Source organism: Homo sapiens, chromosome X (genome assembly GCF_000001405.40).
Source record: "Homo sapiens chromosome X, GRCh38.p14 Primary Assembly".
NCBI classification, from domain to species: Eukaryota; Metazoa; Chordata; class Mammalia; order Primates; family Hominidae; genus Homo; species Homo sapiens.
This window is the reverse complement of record NC_000023.11, coordinates 44,263,131-44,286,661: the sequence shown is the minus strand read 5'-3', so window position 1 is coordinate 44,286,661 and position 23,531 is coordinate 44,263,131. Positions and strand designations below refer to the sequence as shown.

Below are 23,531 nucleotides of genomic sequence, written 5' to 3'. Positions count from 1 at the left end.
TTAAAATTCTACATTTTTTTAAAGACAAGTAGGAGGGTGACTTTATTCACCAAGCGATCAAAAGCAGGCTGCAGAGGACAGGGATTTAGATTGGGAAACTCTTTGTATTCTATCAAGCTGTCTTCTTTACTGGCTACCTTAAGGCATTTTTGCTGGGAAGAAAAACCTTAATAACATCAAGGGCAGTTTACCTTAACCCTCCTGCCATCCCATTGTACCCCACCCTACCAGCCAGAAACAGAAGTCTTACGAAAAGGTTTTGAGGAAAATATCCTGTCCTAGTTTACTCCGTTCCAACGAATTCTTCAAACACATCCTTGACCCAGGACATACGCAGAGTTCAAATCTAGTCTGTATGTTTTGTTAGGCTACCGGTCTCCTTTCTTGGGAAGACTCCTGACTGTGCCTTTTCTGTTTAAAGATGGTAGAGGCGATGGGTGTTCTCCCGCAAGACGGTCAAGGTGTGGGAGAGCGACACACCTTTGATTCTGGCAATCTCTCGCACAGTATGCAGGGCCAGGCCTGGGTGGGCATACTGGCAATAGCTTTTGGGAACCCAGCGAGGGAGGAAGAAGGGAGCATCGGTTTCTACAATAATTCTCTCTAGCGGGATCTTTCTCACAGTTTCTCGGGCTTGCCCAGCAGAAGAGTAAGTCAGAATTGCCGTGAAGCCCACATACAGGTTGGGAAAGTGGTTCAACAGGGGCTCGATGACTGAGTAACTCCCAGTGAAGCAATGGCGATGTATCTTGTGGTCAGAGGGCACGTAATTTTTCAAGATGTGCAGTAGGTCTTCATCGGCTTCTCGGCAGTGGATCATCATGGGCTTCTTTAGAGAGACGGCCAGCCGCAGCAGTCTCTTAAATACTTTCTGCTGCTCTGGGATATGCGTGGTGCACTTACTGGAGTAATCCAAGCCCATTTCGCCGAATGCCACAGCCTTGGGGTGTCGTAAGGCTTTTAAAATACTTCTTTCTTGATAGTTGTTATAATAATGGGCAAAATGAGGGCGACAGCCAAAGACCCCCCAAACCAGATCATCTTTCAACTGATCCTCCCACAGGTTATCACTTAGGTTTTGAGGATTGCAGAAGCAAGAAATGCAGCCCTGAAACTCCTTGGGGAAGGTGTTGCTATAAATTTTTCTGAATTTGGTAAAGGTGCCTTTGAAAGGCAGCCTGGAATATAGCAAGTCTAAATGACAGTGGGTATCAATGAAACCCGGTTGCTCTGGCTGCCAGATGGTCCTTGGCGGAAAGCTAGATGCACGTCCTCCATAAGGATGTCCTAATGTCTCCTCTTGATATACTCTCTCCTCCTTCGCCTCTGCTTCCACATTTCTGGAGTAGTAAAATAAGGAAGAATTCTTGGATCTGCCTTCCTCTGTCATCTTCAGATCTCTGGATGTGTTTTCGGAGCTCACTGGAAAACTGGTGGAATAATCACTCAGGAAGCTCTGGTGGCTGCTCCTCTCACCCTGGAATATGTTGTTGTTGCTTCTGCTGCTGCTGCTACAGCTGCTCTTCCCAGCCTGCAATGTGTTACTGCTGCTGCCCAAGGAGGGATAGCAAGAAGACTTGGTACTGCTGAACCAAGAGCTGGTGTAGTCATGCCAAGGACTATAATGAGGTGGAAAAGTGGTGTAGTCAGTGGCGTAGTATGGAGGCTCTGACACTACAGGAAGACACAGTGAGAATGGCTTCTCTTCAGAGAATATGACTGTGGTTCCACCTACATCAGACCAGTCACTCCCTGAAGAGGGGCGCTCAATTGCCATCTTTTCTTTGTGCTTTTGAATTACTGAATGGGAGTTATAGTTATCCGGAACATTTAAAGGTGGAGAGCTTTTTTCACAAATGACTCTACTTTGGTTGCTAAGTCGCTTTTGGATTATTACATGGGGGTTATAGTCATCCAGAAAATTTGAAGGCTGAGAGCATTTTTCACAAATGAGTGTATTTTGTGTTTTAGGTCGCCCCTCACTGAATTTCTCAGGAGGATTAACAGTCACCCTCTTGTCACAGGAGCTGCTCATTTCTGGGGCTGACTCTTTCTCTTTTTGAGGAGCAAAGATAGTGGCATTCCTGGCTGGTCTTTCTCCACAGTAGGGACACTCTCCTAGGTCTGATTGTGAACTAATGACAGCCTCTTCCTTTACTTTTGGAATGTCATCTCCCAGGATCTCCTGGAGAACACTCAGAGACAATGAAGAGCCACTATCTTGAGGTCTACCCTTCCTGCTCTGGAACTTGTTTGGTTCCTCAGTTTCATTTTGACCCTCACTTCCAGCTGTAAATTGAGGGTTCATGGAATTATAGGAGCTACGTTTGGAATTAATTTTAAGGCTGTAGATACCCTCCTCCAGAGAAGCCATTTCTTTAAAAACGGGGCTGGCAGAGTGCACTGGGGATCACAAGGACGAAAGGAACTCCAAATGCTCCAAATGAGGCAGTCTTTGGAGCCGGCCCTAATCAGGCCAGTGGCTGAGGAATGGGAGGAGAAGGAGGAGAAAGAATTTCTGTGGCAGGATGAACCTTGAGAAAAACACGGTGTGCAGGCCACAAAGTAGCCTTTAGGCCTTTCAGGCCTTTGGGGCCTCTCTCCCCTTCCAAACCACGTTACTGAGCTCCGCGGGGCACCTGTGTTTGCTGCAAACCACGTTACTGAGCTCTGCGGGGCACCTGTGTTTGCTGGGGGATCCTACCTAAGTGCCGCTCCGGTGGTACTTTTCTGCGTGCCGACGGGCCCCAGAGCTGGAGGGCCCTCACGCCACTCCGGCGCCTCCTTTTTTCAACTGTCTATCACAGTTCTCGGTGTTCTAGAGATGCCAAAGCCCTTCCACAATTATTTCAAAGTGCTCTGGAGAAGTCCTAAGGATCCAGGCCTGGTATGGCGTCCGAGCCCGGAACGTACTCCTAAGACTGTCCCAAATGGTCTGATTTTGCGCTGTGCAACTTCCCGGATGTAAAAAAAAAAAAAAAAAAAAGGTACTTCCGTGGAGTCAAAGTGTTTCCGGGGAGTCAAAGTGGCCTGGTATGGCGTCCGAGCCCGGAACGCACTCCTAAGACTGTCCCAAATGGTCTGATTTTGCGCTGTGCAACTTCCCGGATGTAAAAAAAAAAAAAAAAAGGTACTTCCGTGGAGTCAAAGTGCTTCCGGGGAGTCAAAGTGCTTCCGATCGGCCGTGCGCCGTGGCTTACGCCTGTAATCCCAGCACTTTGGGAGGCCGAGGTGGGCGGATCACGAGGTCAGGAGATAGAGACCATCCTGGCTAACACGGTGAAACCCCGTCTCTACTAAAAATACAAAAAATTAGCTGGGTGTGGTGGCGGGCACCTGTAGTCCCAGCTACTCGGGAGGCTGAGCCAGGAGAATGGCGTGAACCTGGGAGGCAGAGCTTGCAGTGAGCTGAGATCGTACCACTGCACTCCAGCCTGGGGGACAGAGCCAGACTCTGTCTCAAAAACAAACAAAGTGCTTCCGATCAAAACTCTTACTTTTGGTTTGGAATACAAGGCCCTTTGGAGATGTCAGAGTCCATGAAATGACTACAAGACACCTTAGGGATCAGACACAGGGTGCCCCTGGGTGGGCTTCTGGCCTAGATGCCCTGATCCCCAACGGCCAGCTGGAGGACAGGGCAGAACATACTGTAGAAGCCGAGTCGGGAAGCCTGCCCAGCCCCCATCACCTCGCCTGCCAGCCTGGGTCAGGCCAGCAGCCCGCTCCATCTAAGAGCAACACTCACCTCCCCACGGCCATCCAGCCCCTCCTTTACCACGCCTCTTCTCACTGCCCAGCCACGTGTCTACCCGAGCTGCAGCCATTACATGCTTTTTGTTCCTCCCCTCCACCCTCAGTTTCTTCCAAAAGCGTAGTCATGGTTTTTAGAGCATAGTTTAAAAACATAGTTTTAAAAAACATAGTTATGACTGTGGTATATAACAATTTTCAGTCTTGTGGTGTTTTTTTTTTGTTTTTGTTTTTTTCTTTGTCCTCCTCTCCCACCCCCCCACCCCCCCCCACCCCCCCCCCCCCCCCGCCCCGAGAGGGAGTCTCACTCTGTCGCCCAGGCTGGATTGCAGTAGTGCGATCTCGGCTCGTTGCAACCTCCACCTCCTGGGTTCAAGTGATTCTCCTGCCTGTGCCTCCCAAGTAGCTGGGACTACAGGCTCGTGCCACCATGCCAGGCTAAATTTTGTATTTTTTTTTTTTTTTTTAGTAGAGACGGGGTTTCACCATGTTGGCCAGGCTGGTCTCCAACTCCTAATCTCAGGTGTTCCACCTGCCTCGGCCTCCCAAAGTGCTGGGATTACAGGTGTGAGCCACCGTGCCCGGCCCAGTCCTGTGTTTTAGTCACTTAACATTACTGTATAGCCTCAGTATTTTTCTTATTGCCTCATGTTTTTCAAAAATATCATGCTGGTGCCTTTATAATACTCCATGGAGAACGTAGATGTGCCGTAATTCACCAAGCCCTTCCCTTTTTGTTAACTTTTCAGGTCCCCTTATTCTACCTTTTTTTTTCTATGATAAAAAGCTGCAAAGAACATCTTTGCACATACAAGTTTCTTCTGTATTTTGGGTTGTTTCTTTGGACTACGTGCGGGGAAATGGAGTTCCTGAGAGGAGGTAGGAATTTTAAATTGGTTCCTCATAACATTACATTGCCGCAGAAAATTGTACTAACTTAAAATCTCATCCGTAATGAGTGGTCCATTTAATAGGAGAAACACACACATAAACCCTATGCCTCGTTGTTATTTTAATTTGCACTTAATCTGACAGTTTCTTAGAGTGAACTTCTTTTTATTTGTTGACCCTCTCATGAATTTTGTTTATGCTGTTTTCCCATTTCTCTTTTAGGGTCTTTAAAAAATTAAACATTTTTATAAAATTAAAGTTTAGCCATATTTTCTAAAATGTTTTGTTAGCATGTTTTTGTTTATATTTTAGTATATCGGAGTTATAACTTATGTAGTTAAATCTTAATTTTTAAAAATGTTTTCTTTCTCTTTTTCTCCCAAGCCTGCAATGTCATTCCTCCTTCTGAGGCTTGACACATATTTATTTTTTTGGAAGGTGAAAGGAATTGATTTATTATATTTAAGCCAATACTTCATCTGATATTTGGGTTGGATTTTACAGGAAGGAGGCTATACACTGATGCTTTTCCAAGTTGGTACTTTTTTTGCTTATTGATATGTGACTCCTCTTTCATTATGTGTTAAATTCCTGTTAACAGAGTCTATTTCCAGGGCATCTGTTCTTTTACACCTACTATGTCTCTTGTTACTGTGGTATTGTACTACTTTAATAAATGAACTATTATATTAAGGTATAAAGTCTGGGAGAGCTAGATTTCCTTCATTACACTTAAATTTTACAACTATCTTTAATAGGCTGAACTATTTATCAGGTAGACTTAAAAAAATAATTCTAGGCCAGGCCCGGTGGCTCACGCCTGTAATCCCAGCACTTTGGGAGGCTGAGGCGGGTGGATCACCTGAGGTCAGGAGTTTGAGACCAGCCTGGCCAACATGGTGAAACTCTGTCTCTACTAAAAATACAAAAATTAGCCAGGCGTGGAGGTGTGCCCCTGTAGTCCCAGCTACTCGGGAGGCTGAGGCAGGAGAATCACTTGAACCCGGGAGGCAGAGGTTGCAGTGAGTCCAGATCACACCACTGCACTCCAGCCTGGGTGACAGAGTGAGACTTCATCTAAAAAAAAAATAATAATTCTAAGTCCCTCCAGAATGACATTGAAATACCCACTTGAAAAGTTATTTTAGTCTGCTTATCCAGAATATACTTCGCCTATCCTTTTAGTCAAGCTCTTCTATTAATATATCTTCTAGTAAATATTTTTAGAGTTTTATCTGGGTCACAGAGTTTTTATTAAAACTATTTTTAAGTATTTTGTAATTTTGTATTATGAACATACTTTCCCCCCATTGTATGGTCTAGCTGGTTATTGCTAACACATAAGAATATTTTAAATTCAGGTATGGTTGTACTGAAATCTTTGTTAGTTTTTCAGCCTTTGCCTAGGTCATTATTTTATCTACCCATAATGATAATTTTTGTCTCTTTCTTGCTAATATTTTTACTTCATATCTTTCTACGTTGTCCAGAGCTTTTAAAAACAATATTAAATAATGATGCTAGTAGGGGCATTATTGTTCTATTCCTGATTTTGGTAGGCACATAGTTTAATTAAGTATTATGTTAGATATTTAGGCTGTTGTTTTAAAGCAGATCTTTTTGTAATCTTGTTAAGGAACTACCCTTGCATTTAAAAATGTATGTGGTAGGAAATGGTGTGAGATCATTATATATTTGCTCATATTTCCTAATTGGGAAACATGTTGGCATCTGTGAGTAAAATGCTGTTTTTTTTTTGTGTAGGTGGCTTGTAACTGTTACAGACTATTAAATTCTGTTTGCTTGTATTTTACTTAGGATCTTCTGTAAATCATAAGTAGTGAAATTGTTCTGTAGCAGTAGTTCTCAACCTTGGCTTGCAGTTTGTAATCACTTGGGGAGCTTTAAAAATTACTGATGCCTAGGCCCACCCTGAGAGAATCTGATTTCTGTGTGTGTGTGTGTGTGTGTGTGTGTGTGTGTGTGTATGGGGGATGGTGGATGTCTGTGGCGGGGGTTGGGGGGCTGGTGGTGGACAGTGTGGCCAATGCATCAGGATTTTTAAAAGCTCTATAGGTGATTCTAATGTGTAGCCAGGGTGAGAACTATTGTTTTACAGTTACTTTTTTTTCATGGTACGTCTATTAGGCATAGGAATTCACCTTTGTAGCTTTCCATCATTTTTGGTATCCTGGAGAGTTATATAATTTGGTAATTTTCTTTTCCTTGAAAGTTGGAACAAATTCATTAGTAAATCATCCTGGTTGGAGACTTTATTGGGGCAATTCTTTGGTAATTTTTTTCACTGCTTACTTGGTTATTAGCTTATTCATTGTGTTTTTGATAAGTCACGGTTCTTACAGAATATCACTTATTTAATTGCAATTTTAAAATTCATTTTCATATGTTTGCATGATTATTATAAGATAATTTATCTTATGGTTTATATCTTATAATTGCATCTCTGTCATGCACTGTATCATTTCTCATTTTATTTATATTTTTCTTGATGAGCTTTCTAAAATCTTATCTATTTTATTTATTTAAAAAGTCCTTGGATTTATTTATTGCAGTTGTTTTTCTTCTTTCAAATTTATATATCCTTACTATCTTTTTTGCTTTCTGTTTTTCTTATGACAAATTTTTGCTTTTTCAAAACCTTTTGTTTATTGTTTTGAGGCAGTCTCATTCTTTCGCCCAGGCTGGAGTGCAGTGGCACGATCATGGCTCACTGCAACCTCTGCCTCCTGTGTTCAAGCAATTCTCCTGCCTCAGCCTCCTGAGTAGCTGGGATTACAGGCATGCACCACCAGGCCCAGCTAATTTTTTTGTATTTTTAGTAGAGACGGGGTTTCACCATGTTGGCCAGGCTGGACTTGAACTCCTGACCTCAGGTGATCTGCCCGCCTTGGCCTTCCAAAGTGCTGGGATTACAGGCGTGAGCTACTGCGCCCGGCCTTAAAAGCTTTTGTTTGAATCATTGCTCACTGGTTCTAAACTCTGGCTATGTTTCAGAATTACCTGGGGAGAGTAGGAAAGAAAAAGAAGGATCTTGTACTTGCCTATCTCAAAGTTCATGGCTGAGACCTCTATAACAAAAGACAGATTAACAAGAGAAAAGCACACAAATTTATTTAATGAAAGCTTCAGGAGACATGGAGCCTTCAGAAATGATCCAAAGAAACAGGAAAAACTATTTTTATGGACAGTCATGTAGAACTGTGACTGGAGGACAAAAGGATATGATCTAATGGTAATAAACTGGGGGGAACTTATAATAGCAAGATTTGTTTGTTCCGATTTTTATTCTTCATCCTTATGTGACACTCCTTTCCTCTGGGTATAGGGCAGGACACCTGTCACATGCGAGTCTATAGGGAAGGAGGAAGGGAGAAGGTCAGAGAATGACCTTCCTAGGTGTTATGACCTGCCTCCGGGGAGAATGATGGAAGAAGGTCAGAGAGACCTTCCTGCTTCTGCCTTTTTCTCAAATGCCAAGGTGCCATGTGCCTCGGCATATTTGCCGAGGTAGCATGTCCTGAACCCCATCAGTAGCTTTTAAAAAATAGTAATAGTCCCCTCCCCAAGGTTCTGATTTAACTTACTTAGGCAAGGGTCTGGGTTTTTTGTTTGTTTGTTTTTCACGGAATGTCACTCTGTCGTTGCTCAGGCTGGAGTGCAGTGGCGTAATCTTGGCTCACTGCAACCTCCACCTCCCAGGCTCAAGTGATTCTCCTGCCTCAGCCTCCTGAGTAGCTGGGATTACAGGTGTCCACCACCGTGCCTGGCTATTTTTTGTGTTTTTAGTAGAGATTGGGTTTTGCCATGTTGGCCAGGCTGGTCTCCAACTCCTGACCTCAGGTTATCCACTCACCTTGGCCTCCCAAAGTGTTGGGATTACAGGTGTGAGCCATTGCGCCCGGCCAGATCTGGTCTTTCAAATTTTTTTTAAAGTTCCCAATGCATAGCCAAGGCTGAGAAACACTGTTAGCAATTTATCCTCTCTCTCAGACTCTAAATTCTTTTATGTAATAATTTTAATCCATTAATTTACCCCAGATTGCAAATTTGCCTATATCCTATAGGTTTGTATGGCCTTATATTTTATTATATACTTTTATATAAATTTATTACATACATGTATATAAATTTTATTTGTATATTTTTTATATTTTTAGATTTATTTTTGGTACAATTATGAGGAGTGACAATTTTCGTTTATAGGTACATTATACACTTCTAGTTGTATTACTTTGTGATCAGTGAATATAACTTGTATAATTTTTCTGTTTTTAAAATTTATTAAAATTTTTGTGAATTAGCATATGTTTCAGATATATTTCTGTAAATATATATATTGTCATGTATAAAGGAGCCATCCTCTATATGCAACACAAAATGTATTATCGTTTATTTCCTTGATTATGGGACTTCATAATCATGAGAGAAACCATTGATTTAATAACAGCTTTTTCAGGAAGAATAAACAACACTGTATTAAATGTACACAAATTTTTCTTGTCTACTAACATATAGAGCATGCATTTATCCTTACCATTATATCCCTTTTATAGTACTTCACAATTTAAGTCTGAACCTTTTTCATAAAACAGAGCTTAAACATATTAAACTTGGACATGTGATGTTGACCTCTTTATAAAATGTTGAGGTTATTGAACATTGCCGATGTTTTGTCTTTCTTTCCTGACAGCTTCTCTAGAAATTCAGCTGTAAGATTTTTTTTTTTTTTTTTTTTTTTGAGCTGGAGTCTCGCTCTGTCGCCCAGGCTGGAGTGCAGTGGCGCAATCTCTGCTCACTGCAAGCTCTGCCTCCCAGGTTCATGCCATTCTCCTGCCTCACCCTCCCGAGTAGCTGGGACTACGGGCACCCGCCCCCACACCTGGCTAATTTTTTGTATTTTTAGTAGAGACAGCGTTTCACCGTGTTAGCCAGGATGGTCTCGATCTCCTGACCTCGTGATCCGCCCGCCTCGGCCTCCGAAATGCTGGGATTATAGGCGTGAGTCACCGTGCCCGGCCTCAGCTGTAAGTTTTTGACATTAGATGTTTGATTCCTGAAGTGATAGTCTTTCTGACTCACGTATTGGCCACATCAGCCTCCCCATCTTTAAAAATTATATGCTTTATTCTAAGAAATTAGGCTTTTGCCTTTGCCTTACAGTTGCATGGTCTAGCCTGCAATGGACAACCTTCTCCACGCAATTATTTTTTGTGTCATACTGCATCAGACAATAATCATTTTCAAACATTTTAAGTGAAAATTAAGAATCTAATGTTAAAATCCAGCTGTTTGGGATATGCAATGCTAAGCAAATAACTCAACTGTCATGAAGATAGGATAGATTCTTCTCTACAAAGCTAAATTTGCACCATATATCAAGTTAGAACTACTTCCCATCAAAATGCATTCTTGACTGCTTTGAGATTCTTTTGGCTTTAATTGTAAGAAGATCCTGAATTCAGAAACATTAACATTTAAAATTTTTCCTTTGTAATGAGGAAATCATATACCTGTTATTTAAAGCTAATTGATTTCAGATTTCAGGAGTTTTTTCTTTTTCTTTTTTATTTTCTTTTCTGTTTTTCTGTCACCCAAGCTGGAATGCAGTGGCATGATCATAGCCCAGTGCAGCCTTAAATTCCTGGGCTAAAGCAATCCTCCTGCCTCAGCTTCCTGAGCAGCTTGGACTATGAGGCACGCACCACCATACCTGACTAGTTAAATAAAGAAAAATTGTTGGAGAGACAGGGACCCATGTGTCACCCAGGCTGGTCTAGAACTCTTGGCCTAAAGTGTTTCAATCCTCCTGATGTAGCCTCCTAACGTGTTGGGATTACAGGCATGATCCACTGTGCCTGGTCTAAGGTTTTATATCCTCTAGGCTAAGATTAAAATTCCAAATGCCTTGAGGATCAGGTAGGTAACCTCATATAATATCATAGGGCCTGCAGAGCCAGAGAGGCCTGTGGAGGACTGAAGATCACATGCCCCCACCAAATGATATTTATATTCCGTTTTCAAGAAAATTGCAGCCAATTACATCCTCTAGGACCTTATTTTTCTTTTTTCTTTTTTTTTTTTTTGAGATGGCGTCTCACTCTATCACCCAGGCTGGAGTGCAGTGGCACCATCTCGGCTCACTGCAACCTCCACCTCCCGGGTTCAAGCGATTCTCCTGCCTCAGCCTCTTGAGTAGCTGGGATTACAAGCATGTGCCAGCACGCACGGCTAATTTTTGTATTTTTAGTAGAGACGGGGTTTCTCCATATTGGTCAGGCTGGTCTCGAACCCCTGACCTCAAGTGATCCACCTGCGTCGGCTTCCCAAAGTGCTGGGATTACAGGTGTGAGCCATCATGCCCGGCCTAGGACCTTATTTATCTAGTTTCTGCTTGACATCATAAATGATGATAACACCTTACATCATAATTATGTTCCTATAAATTTTCATTTTTAACAGTTTTTATTTTAGGTTCTGTTTTCTGGATTCTCTGATACATCAAGTTCCATTGCAATTAGATCATTTATTTTTGTGAGATCACTTTTTAATCTATTTGGTGTCTCTCCTCTTACATTCTACTTCACCACATTTTATAATTTCCTCTTCCTCTTCCTTTTTTATCTTTCCATCTCTACCTCATTCTGACTTGCTCTGTATCTTTCATGCTGGAGTTTGACAGCCCTGTATTCTCATGGGAGCAGACTATGAAATATCAGTCTGTCCCTCATCTAGACATATTGAAGCCCAACCTAAGATAATGTCTTTCCTTTTCTCTTTATTTCAATTTAGCATCCTTCTCTTTTAATGCATCATTTGATTGATAAATATTTAATGATTACATACATGACAGTTGACCTATGCCAGTTGTCAATTGACCTATGCCAGTGTAGTCATTCTCAAATTTATACTGGCAGCATTCAGTATATAGAGGTGGGTGACAGCCAAGAATATTCTCTCTACACTTTCCTACTTGATTACAAAGAAAAAAAAATCTCAGATTAAATATTACGTACACTGAAAGTTTGATGAAGCCCCAGCTCTTTCTCCTTTTAGGTGTTCCAACATCTTTTTTTCCTCCTCCTTTTTTAAAAAAAATTATTTTTGAGACACAGAGTCTCGTTCTCTCACCCAGGCTGGAGTGCAGTGGCGAGGTCATAACTCACTGCAGCCTCGATCTCCTGGGCTCAAGCAATCCTCCCACCTCAGCCTCCCTAGTAGCTGAGACTACAAGTACACGTAACCAAGCCCGACTAATTTTTAAATTTTTTTTTGTAAAAACGGGGTCTCATTATGTTGCCCAGGCTGGTCTCAAACTCCTGGGCTCAAGTGATCTTCCTGCCACAGGCCTGAGCCACTGTAGCCAGCTCCCTCCCCCTACTTTTTAAAAGTTGAAATATAATTCACATAACAAAAACTCACCATTTTAAAGTGTCCAACACAACTCAGTGTCTAATATCTTTTTTTAACTGAGGTAAAATTCACATAACATGAAATTAACCATTAGCCATTTTAAAGTGTGCAATTCAGTGACATTTAACATATCCACAAGGCTGTGCAACCATCACATCTATCTAGTTCCAAGACTTTTTTGTCACCCCAGAAGGAAACTCTATACTTGTCCAACAGCATCTTATCTGAAATATTCACTCAATACAAATGTGACAGCATTCTAGCAATGGGGTTTAGCTAACCTAATTGGAGTCAGGCCAGACAAATTCTTTAAGAAAGCAGCTGAACATAGGACTATTTGGGAATGAAGCCAAAGGTGCCATCCTGAAGGGAGTAGATCTCTGGGTTCACCAGACTCTTATAACCTGTTCCTGTAAGGACAGTGCCTGGTTAGTATTTGTAACTGATATGTGCATTTTGAATACAATCATTTCACTAAAATTTATTCTAATATCATTTATGGCAATTGACAAAGCTTCTTGTGTTGATCAAAGAAAAAGCTACTGAGGCATTCTGTTAGCCACTTCTGAAGTGTGGGCTTCTGATAAAAATATGCTAAACACTCCTGGAGTATATATTCTTACTTAGGTTAACTGACCACCACCCCTAGAGGGTAGATTGCATCTAACAGACTCACTCATATATATCATATTGTCCACATTGAATAACCCTGGAGTTACATCATATGCACAGTTAAGTTTTGCAACTTCAATTATAAAAATTGATCAAAAGTGAGAGACAAAGAGAATATTTAAATGGAGCTCTCACAGAGCTTGAGCCGCAGGTCAAGCTTGAAATGGTAGCCTGAATCTACTTTTCCCACAGTTGTCCTCAATTACCTTGTCGTGCTCAGTGTGTGAGCAGGATGCCATATTAAGAATGTTTCCAATGGCTAAAGATATATATTATTCATACAACATGGCACCTAAGCATAAAGAAATGATTTTAACTGGTCTTCAACTGAAGAAGCAGGCAGTCATCTGCTTCAATATGGGAGAAAAATGGGCTGTGTTTTACTTACTGAGAGGCACAGTTTTCTAAAGTAGTTAAGGAATTTTCAAAGATATTTTTGACTATCTCTGAATTTTACCATAACTGCTTTAGAATCCACCTGTCCTTCCCTTCCTTATTCCCTACCGCCCCCATACAAGATGAGTCTGAGTCTAGCATTGGGCTAGGCTCCTTGAGGTTCCCGAAGTGTAAGGTGGGGTCTCCAGGGCATTGGATGAATTTCAGATATGCCTGCTTGAATTGCCTGAAGGCAAGCAATCATCAGGACTAACAGTCAGGATAATTTTATGCCAGAACCAAGGCAGCTTTGTGTTATTGTTAATGGGAAAAAAATGACAAAACTTATTCATCTTGTGAGAAAGAATATTTTGTCTCTATAACATATACATTTAGAATCCCACTGTGAAATCCCAAAGGCAGACTCTAGTTCAGTTTATGGTAGAGCTGAACGATGGATGTATTACTTGAATATCATTTCCTTGTTTTAACCAGATGGTGATAAAAGTATTAAATAATCTTTATGTATTGTATCTTAGATTGTATATCCATTCGCATGGCTGATGTGTAGAATGAGTTCTTGGAAAAATTCTCTCTACTTTTTTCTTTATATTAACAAAAAGTATACAGGCAGCTGCTTTGTTAATTTTAAGTTTGCTGAATTTTCTTTTCATTTCTTAGTTTCTAATTATTATTCCAACAGGTATTATCTTTTGATGCCTATTTGGAAGAGGAAGTACTTGATAAAAGCCAAACCAACTACAGAATAAGATACTATAAAATCTACTTCTACCCTGAAGATGACACAATTCAAGTAAATGAACCAGAGGTGAAAAATAGTGGATTACTTCAAGGTATCTATTTAAAGCAGAGTTATGGTTCCTTCACTTCTGACTCCTGCCTTTATATACTGCCTGCCTTTAGCTTTTCAAAAGACTGCATGCTACTGTTTAGGCTGTCTAACCTGCTGGCAGTGGTGAATATAAACATGCCATTAGCGTGTAGTTATTGATTGTGACTTACCAGCTTTCTACCCTCTGCATGTCAACATTGGCTGGGTCTCTCACTCCTCCGTGGCATACTTGTATCCTTTCAGGTGCTGCTCTGGTATGAGTAAACTCTCCTGTGCCTTTGACTTTTTCCTCAAACCCTTTGGTCGCCTTGCCGTGAGCAGATCACTTCCTTCACAACACCATTAGGGGAGAAGAGAAAGCTGTTCTCTACTGCAGCTTCCAGATTGGCATTCTCTTCTTTCTTGAATTTACTGTCATTTGTTTCAACCACCCCCTCCTCATCCTCATACCTGTTAACTACAGACTTCGATGGTACCTCACCAGAGAGTCATTGTTCCTTCACCCTGTGTATGCCAGTCATCTTTGTCCATACTCCTCTCAGCCACAGATAAGAGTTAACTCTGTGATGTGGCCACCAGAGAAGCTAATCCTAGGTTGCATTAAGTATGGCAGAGATCAATGGAGATGACTGATTTCTTCTGTTTGTGCTGTGGGTCCTTCTCTTGGGATGCTGCGGAGTTCTGAATGACTTCAGGGGACAGCAACTATGACGGTGAAAGAACTGAACATTTGTCATGTGCAAGACAGAATAGTGAAAAGGGATATTTGTCTGTAATGGGGAGACTCCAGTGTGCTTGATAAATGTCCTCAGGAATCTAAAGGGCTGTCATGTGGAGAAGGGGTGACCTTATTCTCTTTATGTTCATGGATGGGACCTAGGGGTCAGAGTTCAGGTCAGTAAGAGGAAGAACTTTCTGGCAGAGAGCTGCTAGAAGTTATAGGGAATGGACCTGGGTAGGGTTGGGGTTAGGGGTCTGGTGTAGGGGCGGAGGAGAGGAGAGTCACAGATTTGTTTGTTCCCTCGTGTAGATAGATGGCCCTGGGGGCAGGTCAGGGGTGGTTTTTCACTGACAGCCTGCTGGAAGTATGAGAGGATTTGAGTGTTTGTTTGGTTGCTGGTGTAAATGACCTTTCAGGGTACTCAGTTCCTTGACGAGCTGATTCTTGGGTGTGTTGTTGTTTCTTTGCCTTTTAGAGTATTGCCACCTCCAGTATCTCAGTCTCTGAAATTGTCTTCTCTAACTACAATATATACTCCTTTTACTTTCCCTACTTGCTCATAACTACCATCCCTGTTCTTCACTCTCCTAGAAAAACATATCCTGAATATGTCCATGTCTTTCCATCCCCTTCACTACCATCCTCACCTAAGCTACCCTCATCTGTTGACTAGAGGAATAGAATAGCTGCCTAACGTGGTCTCCCTGTTTCCATTCTTGCTCCTCCTACAATCTGTTCTGTATGCAGCAGGGAGAGTGTTGTGTGGGATGTTACCTGGATACAGTGGTGGCCTTTGAGAATTGTACATGCAGGCTCTCCCAGAGGTCACAAAACAGAAGGCTCATGGATCACATTAAAATGCATGAATCACATGTTACATTAAAGTAATTTAAAACACATGATGAGAAGAAAGAGGGAAAGAGATAGGGTAGGTTCACACACTTGGGACAGGGTACAAGTAGGCAGAAGGACCATACTGCCTGAATCCTGGGGTCAGCAATGGTTCTGTCTCTGTTTCACTAACCTTCCCTGCTACTAGTATGGTTTAGAGACCAGAACTGAGGTTCAAGCAAGGAGAACCACAGACAGAAGGGGCTTCGGGCTGAGGGCACACACTTGCTCTGTTGGGGAGATGCAGGGAGAAGTGTGCCTGGCCATGGCTGTAGCTTGTCAATAAGCCTGCTGGATAGTCTTGGGTTTTGTTTGTGTTTCTTGGGCAGAGGTCACATGGGGCTAGAATGGGTGTCACCGATGAATGAGTGGCCAAATTGAGGCCTCATAAATATTGGGTGCTCATGAATATTTAGTGTCCTTATATATTTAGCATATCATGAATATTTAGAGTCCAGGTGCCTCATGTATATTTACGACCTACTGAAAATCAGTTATCTTTTGGTTTTTCCATCCCTTTCTTTCTATGTTTAACATGCCCATGCTCTACTTAGCATACCTACCTACCTATTGTTATTTAACACATCTCATGATTTCTGCCTATGCTGAACAAATTTTGCTTACTAATTACTAATCTAGGCCTGAGGGCTCTGTATTGATATACCACAATGAGTTCAAGGGGGAGAAGCAGGGATTTGAGGGCCATGGGCTCTGAGAATAAGGTTGTCATGCAACCTCATTAAGTGTGCAGAGGACTTCCTTCAATGCTCATGAGATTGAGGTTTTTCTTAGAGCATGGCTTCATTGTGTCTGGTGGTTGGAATAATGAATTTGGAGCCAGCCAGCATTGCCAAGAAGTATTTGTTGGATGCCTATTCTGTGTCAGGCACTGTGCTATGTTTTGGGAAAATGGACAAAAGGACTGAGTCCCATCATAGCCCTATCTCATGGAGTAATAATAGGCCACCAGATTGGAAAGGAAAGGGAGCAAGGCCACCAGTCCAAGAGTTTTGCAATTGTTCAGGCTAGAAATGCTGAGTGTCCAAACCAGGACAATGATGGTAGGAATAGAAAATTGGGGAAGGATTTGAGAGACATTTGGTTGGCAGAGTTGATATGCATTGGCCAGTGATTAAATACAGAGAGTGAGGAGGGGGAATATCTAATGAAAAAGTGCCTACCTTATCATTATCTCATTTAATCTCCTGATGACCATCTAAAGTAGTTACTGTCACTGTCAGCTTTTACAGAAAAGGAAACAGGCTTAGGGAGGTAATTTGCTCAGTCTGTTTTGCATTGCTCTAAAGGAATACCTGGGGCTGGGTAATTTATAAAGAAAAGAGGATTATGTGGCTCACAGTTCTGCAGACTGTACAAGAAGCATGGCACCAGCTTCTGCATCTGGTGAGGCCTCAGGAAGCTTTTACTCGTGGTGGAAGGTGAAAGGAGAGCAGGCGTGTCACATGGCAAGACGGGGAGCAAGAGAGAAAGGAGGGGATGCCAGACTCTTGTTAACAATCAGATTTTACGGTAACCAACAGAAAGAACTCACACATTACTGCGAAGACAACACAAAGACATTCATGTGGGATCCACCCCCATGACCCAAACACCTCCCAGCAGGCCCCATCTCCAACACTGGGGATCACATTTCAGCATGAGATTTGGAGGGGACAAATATCCAAACTATATCGGCCTCAGAGGTCTCTGTGGTTGAGTCATGATACCTTTATAAAGCCCAGGAGCACAGAGCAAGAAACAGGATTGGGGTTTGAATCTGGGGTGTGTTTCAGGGCATGAGGCCTTTGAAGGGGTGTTAGACATCTGTGTGGTGATGCCCCTCCAGGCAGGTACAAACTTAGGATGTGTTTTCAGGAAAAAAGTCAAGACTAGAAATGGAGATTGGGAATCAGAGGTGCCCAGATCATGACCAGGCTATTCTACCATGTTAGAGGAGAGCCACTGGTGAGGTGATGGAAAGATAAAGGGAATTCAATTTAGTGTCTCTGCTTGGTTTTACTAGTGGTGGGAAAAGACGAAGATTAGTATGAGGAGGTAATATGAACTGTCCTCATTGTTCTTTGTGTTCCAACTGATACACTATCCACTCCCTGGCCATTTTATTTGGTGAATTTGGCCTAATGGTAAATCTTTCAGGAAATATGGAAATACCATAACATTTTAAAAACAGGTTTTCACAAATTTTAAGGTTAAAAGTATGACATTTTATTTTACAAAGGGACAAGAGGTTTTAGATTCTTTAGGGTCATTTAAAACATATAAGGCAGTTTTTAAAGATTGGCAAGAATGCATTAGAAAATGGTTGAAGATTATTTAAGAACAAAGAATTTACAATTTATAATTTTTGTGGACATCTATTTTACTTACGTGTATTTGATTATATAATAGTATTGCTGTGGCAAAAAGAAAAAATTTCTTACAGGTTTTCACCTAAACATTTTGTTCTGATATTCCCTCACTAAGCTCTGCTTATTTTCTGATTACTTTCCCACCATGACACCAAACTTGCACAAATGATAGACTGGAGGTCACAGGACACCCCAGGCCTGGGTTAGTGACTTGCATTATTGTTTTCATTATTACCTTTAAAGTGAAAGCTCATAATCCTATAGCTCACTGGCCCCTGTCCAGTTCATCTTAGTTTTATTAAACTATCCAAGAAGAAATATGAAATGTAGCTTCTTTTAGAATCTTGGAAAGGCTTTTATTAAGACTTCTCAATTCTTTCAGACTCTTGATTTCAAATCTCACATAGGCAGATTCCAAAGGCAAGCTGAAGATAGTCATAATGATGTACTTGAAAATCATTCTTGTGTAAGGAGGGAGGAATGCTATCATAAAGTCTCAGAAAAAAAAGACCTGAGTAAAAGACAACTTTAAAGTCTCTGGAAATTTTCCGAATTTTTGATTGGCTCACTGTGGTCAGGACATTTCCCTGTGTGAAGACACAGCTCAAGAGTTGTGTATAGAATACACAGTAATCACGCTGCGTAATGACATTGAATTTGTCAGCAGAGTAGAGAAATTTGGAAGGCTGTAGCAAATCCTGTAGAAAGCAAACATGAATAACCACTCTGTCACCAAGCTTTGTTTAGAGAGAAACCAGTCTCTTGAAATATTTAATATGATAATTCTTGTTAAGGAAGGTCTATTTGGACTGCAGATAGTTTGAAAAATCATTTAAATGCCTTCTTCAAGCTTTTCTAAATTAAGTGATTGGAAAAAAGAAAACACTTAATGAGCCAGTGGTTCAGACGTCAGTGGGACAGGGTAGGTAGTGTTTCTTTCAGTTGTGACTTGAGTGGCCCGGGCTTGCTTTCCATGCATCTGGGCCCTGGGAAGAGGCAAATGGTCAAGATTAGGTGCTGTGCAGTGATGGCGTTCCTGTCACTTCCATAGGATTTTGATATTTTCTAGATGAACTTGGAGGTCAGATGCACTTGTTTCTTGTGTGACCATTTGGAAATTAGTGCAACTGGAGGAATTATAACCCTCCCCTGCTCCCTTTTGGTTGCCTCTATTATCATGTAATTTTTTAGGGTGGGGGGAGTTTGGAATCAGCCAGAAACAAAAGAGGCATCCATTAGCATGGTACCAAAATAGGCATTCATGCAGCTTCTAATCAGAACAACATATTTTTAATATTCACAAGTTCTTGTTGGCAAGGAGATTTGTGTGTGTTATGAGTCAAGAAAGCCAGTATTGCACTTCAAGGCTTGCTTTCATTTCTTGCCAGGACATCACTCTCTTTTCGGTTAGATGTGTTATATTTACAGAACGTGTTGCTTTTCTGCTGGAATGTAGTTAAAACAACATTATATCAAGCCAAGAATGTCAGAGGTTAATCCAGTAGTTTTACCTCTAATTGTCTAACAGAATAATTGTCAGTTAAATACACCAAGTCCAGCCTAATCTGTGCTAAAGAAAGGATAATGATTAGAAATGTGCCGTGATTTTCTGGTATGGTCTATACCAGTTGTTCTCAGTTGAAAGTGATCCTCAGAATCTCCTAGCCCACCCCAGAATTTTTTCTTCTGTAGACATGGGGTCAAGAACTGGCTTCCCTATGATTCTTAGTGCATCTTGGTTGAGAACACTGATTTCCACTAATGACTTGTTTTGGCCCCTTAATAAGGTAGTATTTCTCATATATATATTTTTTAATACTCTAAGATAATCTGCTTGATCAGGCAAATGTAATCACACAAAATAGAAGTCAGTCATTCATATGCCATTCACTCTTATTGGGCATGTACTATATATAGGTATTATATCCCATAAAGTGGTGGAGGGGTGGTGGGAAGGTTGCCAGATGAAGTATAAGATACTCAGTTATATTTGAATTTCAGGTAAGCAATGAAGTTTTTAGTATAATTATGTCCCAAATATTGCATAGGACATAGTTATACTAAAGAATTTGGCTGGGCATGGTGGCTTACACCTGTAATCCCAGCACTTTGGGAGGCAGAGGCGGGCTGATAACTTGAGGCCGGGAGTTTGAGACCAGCCTGACCAACATAGCAAAACCTCGTCGACTAAAAATATAAAAATTAGCTGGGTGTGGTGGCACATGCCTATAATCCTAGCTACTCAGGAGGCTAAGACAGGAGAATTGCTTGAACCTGGGAGACGGAGGTTGCAGTGAGCCGAGATCACACCACTGCACTCCAGCCTGGGTGAAAAAAAATTAAAAAAATTTAAAAAAAAAAAGAATTCTTTGTTGTTTATCTGGAATTCAAATTTAACTGAGCAGCCTATATTTTAATTTGCTAAATCTGGTCACCCTAGAGGGTGGACACTGGGGAGAGAACCAGGTACTTGAGGGATTAGAGGAGGAAAAGCCAATATCCACTAGAGAATCTGGCATTTGAATGGTACCTCAAAAGTTTCTCTAGATAAAGATGGAAGAGAAAGGCAGAATAGTCAAAAGGAGCAACATGAGATAAAGTGGTGGGACAATAAATTGGGAAGTATTTGGGAGCAGATCATAGATTGAATAGGGAAAACAGGGCAAGAAGGTGGTCATGCAAGAGGACATTAAAGCATCTGTTATTTTGGTGCTTTTTCAATAGCTAAGGGGGAGATGCGTAGGGTTACTGTTTCTTATTGTGAGCAGAAATGTGGAATTTTTAACTTCTTATTCTTTTGCTGCAAGGTGAGTGCCCGGTTGTGTATATAAAAATAATTATTCTTGTGAAACCGAAACTCTAAAGGTGACATTTTAGAAAAATAAAAGTAAAAGTATACAAGTCATTTTAGTAGAGGAATATAGTAAGCACAAGAGGAAGAAAAGACACTCTGTTATGTGTGATTGTGGTTAAGCCTCTTAGTATTTTTAGGGCACAAACTTGTAGATGTGATGATAAGTGGCAATTGCAGTTATATCTTCATTTACCTAAGAAATATCTGCCTTTAGACTTGGATGTACTCTAGGCCTGCAGCATTACTAAAATGAAATTAACATACTTAAATTAAAATAGAGGTGACCCAGGTGCAGTGGCTCACGCCTGTAATCCCAGCACTTTGTGAGGCCGAGGCAAAAGGATTGCTTAAGTCCAGGAGTTCAAGACCAGCCTGGGCAACAAAGCAAGGCTGTCTCTACAAAAAATAAAAAGTTAGCCAGGCGTGGTGGCCATGCCCGTAATCTCAGCTACACGGGAGGTTGAGGTAGGGAGGATCGCTTGAGCCTGGGAGGTTGAGGCTGCATTGATCCATGATCATGCCACTGCACTGTAGCCTGGGCAATGATGTGAGACCCTGTCTCAAAAATAAATAAATAAATAAAAAATAAAATAGAGGTGAGAGTTTGGAGTCTTAATTCTGGAAGGTGAATTCCAGAAAAGTAAATTTAGTGGTATGAGCAAAGATCTAAGGCAAGTCTCAACTGAATAACATGAAAACACATGAAACATAAATGGATATATGGTCACTTTGATCTAAACCACAGGGAAATGTTAGAAAGTTAAAGCTTGAAGAGCATAGCCAGATAGCAGGGCTTTTACAAAGGAAGAGAAATGTAAAACATGAAGATGAGGAAAAGCTGGACATGTGTCCCAATAGTCTTTATTGGGCAGTTAAGATAAACTCCTGAAAATTTAAAGGGCAAATATGGTGCTTTAGTTGTTTTTCTGTTTTGTAACAATATCTTTATTTATCTACCTTGATGATTTCACCTGCTCTTCAATGTGGGTCAAGGACATGGTATCCTGCCCATTTCTTTGATATCCCAAAACAAATTCCTGCTGATGGAGTTTCTGCCATTTATCGTGGAAGACTAAAAACATAAAAATTCTGATAATTAGAAATTTTAATTCTCAAAGGACACAGTTGAGAAATCCTATGAATATGTTATTGAAAGCTCTCATGTGCAACTGTACATTTCAAATGGCCCACCTTGGTTTTCTGATTAATATGGAATTGTGACGTTAGATTTTTGGTTATCAAAACTTTACTGTTAGTGTTAGACCTGCCTTTTCTTTCTAACTCATGGGTGTTCAGGATTCTTTTTTGTCACCAAGAAGAGCTTCCCTGGCCTTTTCTGAGAAGCATCTAGTGAGAGAAGTGTAGCGGCTAAGAGAAGGAAGAGTTGGGGGGCTTGAGATCTGCAGGCTCCTGGGAGAGGCAAGTCAGCTGGTGGGGCAGGCCCTGCAGGGTGCATTGCCATAGCAGTGGGTGGGCATCTCTGGAAATTTCCCCTTCGAGGAGAGAGGCTGTTCTTTCGGAAGAGCAGCTTCATCTCTCTTTTCTTTTCATGGTGGCTGGTAGCTCTTTTATCCATTTCCATCCTGTTATGCCTATGGCTCTTCCTCCTCAAGTAATATGTAGCTGCAGTACAGTGAGATACAGCTCAGTGCAAACTATGGAAAGTAATGGTATTTAGTTAGAGTCTGAAAGCCCAACTTCAAGATCTTTTACTGCCATTTGTTAGGGCATGACCTTGGGCATGGCATTTAACCTCTCTGAGCTTTGGTTTTCTCATCCTTAAACTGAATATTCATATTTCATGTATTATCTGCCTTATAGAATTATTGAGGATTAAATGAGAAAATGTAAGTGAAAGTTTATCCTAGGGCTATGATGATGATTGTGATTAGTATTATTTAAAAGCCCAGTGGGTGGGCCAGTTTTTGCCACCTAGAAAAATATAGGACTCCTATTCAAAGTCTTATGGAACAAAAATCATCGCTAACTTGCTTATTTGAATTTCTATAATGAAGTAAAAATGCAAGATAGATGGAATTTTTGAAGAAGCTCCTGACTGTTGAATAATTCTTATATATTTTAAAAACTGTCACAATATAAGTATTTTTAAAGTAGTATATAATGGTTCCTGAAAATACCTGAAATGCCCATCCTTTTATACATGTTTAAGTATGCAATTTGTTCTAAATGTCTAATCTTGAATGATTAAATAATTTGCATACTGTTTTCAGTGCTATGAATTAAAGGCTAATTGAAGTATAATTTTTTCACAGTAAAATTGTATCATCTTTTATGTAGTACATTTAAAAATATTCTAGGCCAGTTCTAATTTTATAGTTTTATTATTTTAATTTAATGCACCAAGTAATTAAAAATTGCTGCAAAGAAAAGAAGCTGAAAATGATTTTAGGTAATTTCCCCTCAACAGAGTGAAAAGATGATAAGTAGAATAATGGAAGAGAGCCCAACACAGTTCCTGGCACATAAAGATATTCATTAAATATTCCTTAATGAATAAGCAATGACTAATTTCTAAGTGTCTCTAGACTTTGAGAAAAGGCACCATTTTCAGTGCTGTATAAAATACAAAGAAGATAGGTTGACATCTTTATATTAAAATACCTCCATGCAGAGTTCCCACAAGCCAATTTTTATTGAATCATTAGATCTGCAGTTTGTTCTGCTTTCCTTTTCTCTTTGTTCTTGGAGTAGATTCTCAGG

At 40.9% G+C, this 23,531-nt stretch overlaps 1 protein-coding gene and 1 pseudogene across 4 annotated transcripts in view, besides 1 other annotated feature; one reads left to right on the top strand and one right to left on the bottom strand.

Moving 5' to 3' along the window:
* The window catches only part of EFHC2 (EF-hand domain containing 2), a 195,801-nt gene that overhangs the window by 57,011 nt on the left and 115,259 nt on the right, over nucleotides 1-23,531 (top strand). For 3 of the 4 annotated variants that reach the window (XM_047442535.1, NM_025184.4, XM_047442536.1), the window contains exon 3: nucleotides 13,826-13,976. In XM_047442535.1, the coding sequence (XP_047298491.1) occupies nucleotides 13,826-13,976 (151 nt within the window). Of the gene's footprint in view, nucleotides 1-9,655; nucleotides 9,690-13,825; nucleotides 13,977-23,531 lie in introns of those variants that run through there. The other variant, XM_006724562.3, reaches the window with a different exon arrangement.
* On the bottom strand, nucleotides 23-2,596 carry TATDN2P1 (TatD DNase domain containing 2 pseudogene 1; annotated as a pseudogene).
* Nucleotides 12,185-12,479: a silencer, noted in NCBI's record as "tiled region #13194; HepG2 Repressive non-DNase unmatched - State 24:Quies". NCBI's record gives its function as "represses a minimal TATA promoter and a strong SV40 promoter by Sharpr-MPRA in HepG2 cells {active_cell/tissue: HepG2}" and the evidence as "EXISTENCE:reporter gene assay evidence [ECO:0000049][PMID:27701403]".